Genomic DNA, 8,459 nt, shown 5'->3' with positions numbered 1-8,459 from the left:
TGAATCTGACTAAGTGCAAGGCAAGCTGCTTCCCTCTTCATATCTCTCATTACTTGGTACTGTATTTTGATCCATGTAAACACAGAAAAGAACATAGCAGCCCCAGAAATTCAAGTTAGTCACTAACCAGGAAGTGGGTGCACCTTCCGTATTTCCAGGGACCCTGGCGGTTACGCCGTGGGATGTGTGCGTGATGTGTGCAGCCCCTGCAGCCAGCGCCGGCAGACCCCATCCCAGACAACGGAAGCGCTGCGGAGAAGCGGCCCTGCCCCTACCCGCACCAAGCTCTCAGTCTAGAAGAACAGAGTTGCTGTTTGCTGTCTTGGAAACGAAAGAGGAGGAAGAGGAGGGGAAAGGAAAAAAGGAGGAGGAAAACAAAAACACGGAGTGGGGCGAGGGGGAGGTGGAAAAAGAAAAAGATTAACTGAGTGGAGAAAAAAGTTTTCATGCCATGAATTTTTTAAAAAAGGAAACAGGCAAGCAGAGAGTTAAGGGAGTGGTGTTTTTCTCTTCTTTCATGGCCACAGGATTCTAGAAAATCAAATAGCAGGTCTGGGAGGGACAGCCTTGCTCCACAGAGTCTACTGAGAGGTGGTGCAGTGGGGAGACAGAACTGCAGCAGGGCAGGATGTGGAGCAGGCCAGGGCCTGCACCAGCGCCCAGGTATGCGGCTGACAGGCAGGGCGCTGGCCCGCGGCAGGTGCAGCACCGCCAGTGCCCGCGGCCCCAGGAAAAGAAAACCTGCAGGTGCCGTCAGGACATGTCCTGAGCCTCCGAAGCCACGCGCTTTTCTGAATAGCTGTCCTATGCTCATTGTCTGGCTGCAAGATGATGGTGTGCATTGGGAGGGGACAAGAGGGAGGGAGTGGTGTGTGGAGTCTCCTGCTCTGGTGGCTTTGATGACACACAGGGGTGGCTTCAGAGAGAGGGGCAGTGGGAGGAGGCGGGGCAGGCAGTGGAGATCCCAGGGTGCTGGTGTGGGCTGGCTAAGCCTATGCCAGAGGAGGCGGGGTGGGGACTCCCCTGCCAGTCCCGGGGCAGCTCCTCTTCCCCCAGAAGAGCGCCCCTCCTTGCCCTCTCTCCCAGGCTGCATGGACGCGGGCAGTCTGTTGACTGCAGAGCACCCCTGTGAGTATGATCCACTGTCCCTACATGCCTGGGACTCTCCTCTGTCTACCTTCAGCCATCTGCGGCACATTGGCTCTAAGCAGTTCAGCTCAGTACTCACAATCCCAAGAATTTATAAATGCTGCCTGAGTCCCTGCACATGCCAGGAGCGCACATGGGTTAGTACACACTGTTGGTGCTCCGGGGCTTCTCTGTTGAGTTACCTCTCAGCCCGCTCATGACCTGTCACCAGAGGCAGTTCTAAAAATAAGCAATTATCACGTTCAGCTGGAAGCAGGAGAAAGTAATGGAGCCACTTGTCTTTTGCCAGCTCTGAATACCTGATCAAGGGGATCTCCCACCCTCCTCTGAAAGGGCTGGCATACATTTTGGGGGAGTGGGGAATAGGAGGACATTTTCCCTTTGTAGAAAGTTAACTCCATGTTGTGGTTGTTGTCCTACTGGCTGCAGCCAAGGAGCAAGGAGGCAGGAATGAAGGCAGGGCAGTGCTCCCGGCTGGGCCCAGGGAAAGGAGCAATGCTCCCTGGCTAGACCCAGGGAAAGGAGCAATGCTCCCTGGCTAGACCCAGGGAAAGGAGCAATGCTCCCTGGCTAGACCCAGGGAAAGGAGCACTGCTCCCTAGCTAGATCCAGGGACAGGAGTAGTGCTCCCAGCTAGATCCAGGGAAAGGCTGCTCCCCAGCTAGACCCAGGGAAAGGAGCACTGCTCCCTAGCTAGATCCAGGGACAGGAGTAGTGCTCCCAGCTAGATCCAGGGAAAGGCTGCTCCCCAGCTAGATCCAGGGAAAGGAGTAGTGCTCCCAGCTAGACCCAAGGACAAGAGTAGTGCTCCTGGCTAGACCTTGGGAGAGGAACAGTGCTCCCAGCTAGACCCAAGGACAGGAGTAGTGCTCCCAGCTAGACCTTGGGAGAGGAGCAGTGCTCCCAGCTAGACCCAGGGACAGGAGTAGTGCTCTTCACTGGACCCAGGGACAGGAGCAGTGCTCCCCAGCTAGACCCAGGGACAGGAGTAGTGCACCCCAGCTAGACCCCGGGACAAGAGTACTGCTCCCCAGCTAGAGGTGCACCCAAGCCCTTCCTTCATTCTCCGGCCTCACAGGGCCACTGCTGCAGCCTCCTGAAAAGGTGCTCTGAGCCCTGCACCCTGCCCTGTGCTCTGAACCCAGTGCTCACAGCTGATCCCCCTGGATGGAGCAAGCATACCTCTGCTTGGGCCACTGAGCAAGAACTCAGCGCCATGCCAGGGCTCCCTCCTCCAGAACCCACCATGCCCCTGCGTGCACCCTACAGGAAAGGCGGCTGCCAGGAGGGACTGCAGCCCGGGTGCCTAGAGCACTCGGTGCCTCACTTTACACAGTCATTGCGGGGTGGGGTTTTCCTCAGAACACCTGCCATGCAGGGTGGGGAAGATTTAGGTGAATAGACTGAAAGCACCGAGAGTGGTACCCAGCACATAGGAGATGTTCAGTACTTGTCAACTCTCGTGATTGTGACGTAATGCAAAAGTCCATATGCATTGCAGTGTTCTGTTCAGTGTCATGCTCTTGAGAACAGCCATGCTGACCCTACATCCCACCCGGGTCACACCTCCCAGCGTTCAGGCAGCGCTCAGTGCATGCTGCTGGCTGCCAGCCCACCTGCAGCTATTCCAGGGCAGGACTGGAATTCCTCCAGGGTTCCGCGTCCTAAGTGGGCAGGCCTGGCAGAAGCCAAGGTGCAGTTCAGCTGCCACGAGTAGGTGATTAAGAGATTCCTCATTGTATGATACACAAATACCTTCCCTGCAAAATTGCCGAGCTAAGAATGCACTGTCTACTTCCACAGAATGCTGACTCTTGGTCAAATCAGTATCCCTGTTGGCTGAGCATCCAGGGATGTTCTCTTTAGGAAAACAGTGCCTCAGAAACTCACAGCTTACTGTGAAGAAATCTTTTCCTGTACCTATTGCTAACCACCCAACTGAAACCTATTGCTATGTGAGTTTTAGAGCACTTTGTTATCTGGTCTTAATTTAAGTTCTGGTTGTATGTGCGTGCATGTGTGGGTGTGCATGTGTGTTATGTATTCCTCCATGCACACATGCATGCATGCATGAGCTCACACATGCATGCATGCATGAGCTCACACATGAAGTGAGACCTCCTCTCTGGATCTCCCATGTCATCAGCTCCACCTGGCTTTGCATTTACTTGCATGTCTTGCTGAGGAAGCCTCTAGATTAATGCACATGGTTTTCTACTCACCCTGTGACTATTCCAGTCACTTCATGGAGGGTTATGGGAAAATAGAGTTCATGATAAAGGTGAGCTGGACAGTCCTGGGATCATGAGCAACAGATGTGCCTTCAGGCCTGTGATTACAGCCTCAGGCTGCAGGCTGCTCCTGCCCACTGGCTCCTGAAGGCTGACCTGCAAAAGCAGCCCTGTTCTCAGCTCTGACGGCAGCAGGGGCGGGAGGGCAGGTGCAGGTGAGCAGACCCAGGTGGGCAGGCACAGGTGAGCAGGCCAGCTGGCTGATGCTGATGGCTGAGAGGGTAGAAAAGTAATGCCCTAGTCCCATAGGCCACACAAACTGTATGTGGCCATACAAGTTGGTTCCTTATAAACAATCAAGAAAGAGTGTGGATATGAGACCACAGTAGCACTCACTGTACAAGTCCATCTAGTAGCACCTAGAATTGCTCTTTGATGGACAGCATCAAGCTGGATGAGCATGAGCAGTAAGCAGGGAAAGTAAAGCAAATGGTATTTTTGGCAGTTAGAAATAATGTGGCCAGCCACAATGAGGAAGAACACTGATGGGCCCTGCCAGAAGTAAGGCAGACCACCTTCCTCAGCATCCCTCTGCGGTGGTCCTGGAGAGCCGAGTGGGCTTGCCAGCTGGGAAGAGAGGAATTATCTACTTTGGAAGGCATGTCAGTACATCTAATATTAAAAAGAGATTTATCCCCACTGTGCCCATCAAGTGGACGGAGGCTTCCCTCACCGCCTTTCACCCACAAGTGCACTGCCACACATGGGTCTCTGACTGGAAAGTTTGGGGGCAGCACGGGGAGGGCCCAGGACTTGCCAGACCACCCCCCGCCATGTGTTCTCACGTCTGCATGCCATCGCCCCAGCATGGGTGCTGCACGGCGTGGCCCCTTCCTCCGTAATTTATGGCTTGCTGTGCACCTCATGCTGCCACTTAGTCCCTGAAGAAAACATTCCTCCCCCTAACACACATCCCCTTGTTTATTTCTGCCTCCCTCCTGGCTGTTTTTCTCCACATTGCCCCTGTTATGGGGCCCCAGCCACTCACACAGAGTTCTGGGCCTGCAGGGTTTGCCGGCTGAGAGGACATTAGTCTACATGGGTGAAACTCAGGCTCCCTCCCCACTGAAGTGCACTGTCACCACCTCCCTCCCTTTGCCAGCAGACATCCACTGACTAGACAATGGTCACTTAACTGCCTGTCACCTGTGCAGTGGACAGAGCATTCTCGTACCCTAGATGAAATGCACAGCCTGTGTGAAGAGGTCCAATAAAGCAGAAAACGAGATTTTTCACTCCTGTCACTGGAGAATACTTGGAGTATTTCAATCACTGCTATGGTCACAAAGTCAGTGGCACCTGCTCCACCACTACTAGCAAAACTTCCTCATTGTTCCAGTGCCAAGGAACAAATCACAGGGGCGAAGACTGCAGACCCTGGAGTCCAGCCTTGCGAGCCAGATGCAGCTCCCAGGGCAGAGGACGGGCCTCCTGCACCCACAGGGATGCCCCTCTTCTGCTCTCAGCCAGGCCCCTGCTGAGAGTTGTTTGCTGCCACTTACTTCTGAGTCAGCTTCTCCCTGGCTCTCTGAACAGGCTCATCTCTGCAGACATCTCTTAGAGCTTGAAAAAATTATATAAATCTTTCAAGATCCAGTAGCACACAACCTTTGGTTTTATAAAAAGCATACATGTTGGTTCTGATGAACGCTGGCCTTCTCATGTCAACAAATGCCTATTTCACCAAACGATGAGTTTCACCTCTCTTCTGAGATACGCACTAGTATAAACACAACATGACCCCATATATGTGAGATGGGTTTGCTTCTTGAAACACCATAATAAGGAAAGAAATTGACTGACAACAGACTGAATGAGGCAAGCAAGCTCTCACCCTGGCCTGCGGCCGGGAGGGAGAGGCGAAAAGGGCGGTGTTTCTCTCTCCTTTCATGGCCGCAGGATTCTAGAAAATCAAATAGCAGTCTGGGAGGGACAGCCTTGCTCCACAGAGTCTACTGAGAGATGGTGCAGTGGGGAGACAGAATCGCAGCAGGGCAGGATGTGGAGCAGGCCAGGGCCTGCACCAGCGCCCAGGTATGCGGCTGACAGGCAGGGCGCTGGCCCACGGCAGGTGCAGCACCGCCAGTGCCCGTGGCCCCAGGAAAAGAAAACCTGCAGGTGCCGTCAGGACATGTCCTGAGCCTCCGAAGCCACGCGCTTTTCTGAATAGCAGTCCTATGCTCATTGTCTGGCTGCAAGATGATGGTGTGCATTGTGGGGGGACAAGAGGGAGGGAGTGGTGTGTGGAGTCTCCTGCTCTGGTGGCTTTGATGACACACAGGGGCAGCTCCAGAGTGAGGGGCAGTGGGAGGAGGTGGGGCAGGCAGTGGAGATCCCAGGGTGCTGGTGTGGGCTGGCTGAGCCTGTGCCAGAGGAGGCGGGGTAGGGACTACTCTGCCAGTCCTGAGGCAGCCTCTCTTCCCCCAGGAGGGTGACACTGTCTCCTGATGTCTGGGAAAGTTAGACAGGGAGCCCTACACACCTTCAAATCCAGCCCTCGCTGCCTGCAACAGGCTTCAGTCCTTGGCCAGTATTTAATATTTCCCTCCATTATTTTGTGAAAAAAGGAAGACATGTTAAGCTCGCAACACTTTAGAAGATAAATGTGACATTAACCGTGCCATCACCACAGTTTGCTAGGGCAAGCCATGTCAGTGCGGTCTCAGGGAGGACCAGGTCTCACCTGTGCCCACAGAGGGGACTGCACATGGCTGGCCACAGTCATGCACCCCGATATCATGCCCTGCTGCATTTTTTTCTGTTTATGTTTCTCTTTTTTTCCCCTTCTATAGAACGTAAATCCATGAAAACATGGCCCTGGTCAGTCCTCTTCTGTGCTGTCTACCCATATGGTAGTGGGCACTCAGTCAATATTTGCTGAATGAGTGAAGGATTGAACCCCACGGCACAGCATTAGTGGAAAACTTATTTTGACCTGAATGTCAACGGAGTGTGTGTGCTCAAGGCAATGTTGTTTTTCAAGAAAGCAGATGTGACGCCATTGTATACCCAACAAATACAAATTGCGGGGCTTGGTAACTCTCTATGGCCTACAGCTCTGACAGCCTCTGATGTGCTGTGTGAAACCAAGAGCAGAAATGGATGTCTCCATTCTACTCATCCGTGCATGGCTGCAGTAGCAGCCAGTTCATTTTGGTCCTGTTTCATTTGGTATTACAAATGCCCCTGTAGGCTGGATGTGCTGGCTCACACCTGTGATGCCAGTACTTTGGGAGGCCGAGGCTGGAGGATTGCTTGAGACCAGGAGTTCGAGACCAGCCTGGGCAACATGGTGAAACCCTGTCTCACAGAAAAATGCAAAAATTAGCCAGGCACGGTGGCACTTGCCTATAATCCCAGCTACCCGGGAGGCTGAGGTGGGAGGATCACTGAGCCTAGGAGGTCGTGGCTGCAGTAAGCCGAGGCCGTAACGCTGCACTCCAGGCTGGGTGATAAAGCAAGACCTTTGGAGAACAAAAGGGGGTTAACTGCAGACACTCGTACACCTGGCAAAGTTACTGGAATAAGCATGTCTTTGCCTGGAGAACAGCAAGGGCTGATTCAATGCCTTTATTTGAACTCTGCATGTGGAATTTTATTACTTGGAATATATCCTCAAAAAAATGGAAGTAAAGTAAGCAGACTAAACTGAAGTGTATAATAAGTTTGGTTTGATTTAAATAGATTATTACATTGATAAGGTTAGAACAAGCTATGACAATGCATTAAGAAATAAACATCATTGTGAAACTTAAAAATTAAGCTATGAGATATTCTATGATTCCTAAGATGAGCCCCTGCAGGTATAGGTAACTGAAGGATTTCACTAGGGTGATGATTCTATTCATCTTCAGCCTCCTGGTAAACTTACAATGATGAGGGGTTTGAAACCTATAGGTTTTTAGCACTCGGCTAACCACAAAACCATAACTTTCAAAGGAGGTAAATGTGCAGGTCAACAGAATAGGAATTTATATGGTAAATGTTACACTGACTGAGAAACTCTCTCCCTTCCTCAGCAGACACTGTTATTCTTAGACAGGATAGGTTCTGAGCCAGTCAGGAGGTTAGGAGAGGGTGTTAGGGCAACTTGGTGCTTCTGAAAGGCTGTTGAGGTTTTTGGCACACACTACAACTCTCTGAAAGACAATGGATTTCTGGAGATCCTTTGAGTCACCTTTGCCATGATGCTGCAACCCTAGGCCTGTCCACACTCCCACACCTCCGTGTCTCTTGCAGGAATGGACTTCCTTCCCTTTTTCTCCCTTCTGCCTGGAAAATTTCTGCTCTCCCTCCCCAGTGAAGCCCTTCCAGCCTCTGCCAAGAAGTCTGGCCACCCTGAGTGTGTTGTCCAGGCATCTGTTACAGCCTGGGAGAGCATCACACTTATTATCAACTTTGATGTCATGAGGCCTGGGACTCACATTCCCCACAGTGCTCTTGTCTGGTGTATAATAAACCCGCATTAAACTGATGACAAATGAAGAGCATGCTCAGCTCAAACTCGTGATGCTAGAATCTCAGAAATTTCCCCATACATCCCCAGAATTCAGCTCTTCCTTTGCAAATGACAAATGTCCTGTAGCAAACCATCTGTGGGAGCCTTACAGTGCCAGGGCCTCTCAGCAAGCATGCACCCCATGGACCTGGCCGCCTTTGGAACGTGTTCCCCTCCACAATCTGCATCTTCATTATTTTAAACCTTGAACACCATCTCCTCAATTTCTTCCTCTCAAACTGCACTTTGTCTTCCATGTCATAATCGCCCCCACTACCTACTTCAGTCTTGACATTTTCTCCCAGTTTTCCAGCCTGCACTGGCCTCTTTCCCTCCTCCCTTTTGGGCATTCCTCGCACCTTTTCTCCGTCTGAGTGACTCCCTCTCATGCACCAGACATGTTCCTGGCGTTGTCTTTTCCCAGAAACTCTCTCTGGTGGCTCTTGGCAAGCTGTGTTCCCTTAGTAGGGTTACCACACTCCCCTGTTACCCTATTGTCGTACTTGGCCCTGTAAAACACA

The sequence above is a fragment of the Homo sapiens genome, chromosome 8 (assembly GCF_000001405.40).
Source record: "Homo sapiens chromosome 8, GRCh38.p14 Primary Assembly".
In the NCBI taxonomy this organism is placed as follows: domain Eukaryota; kingdom Metazoa; phylum Chordata; class Mammalia; order Primates; family Hominidae; genus Homo; species Homo sapiens.
Note: the sequence above shows the minus strand (reverse complement) of the source record.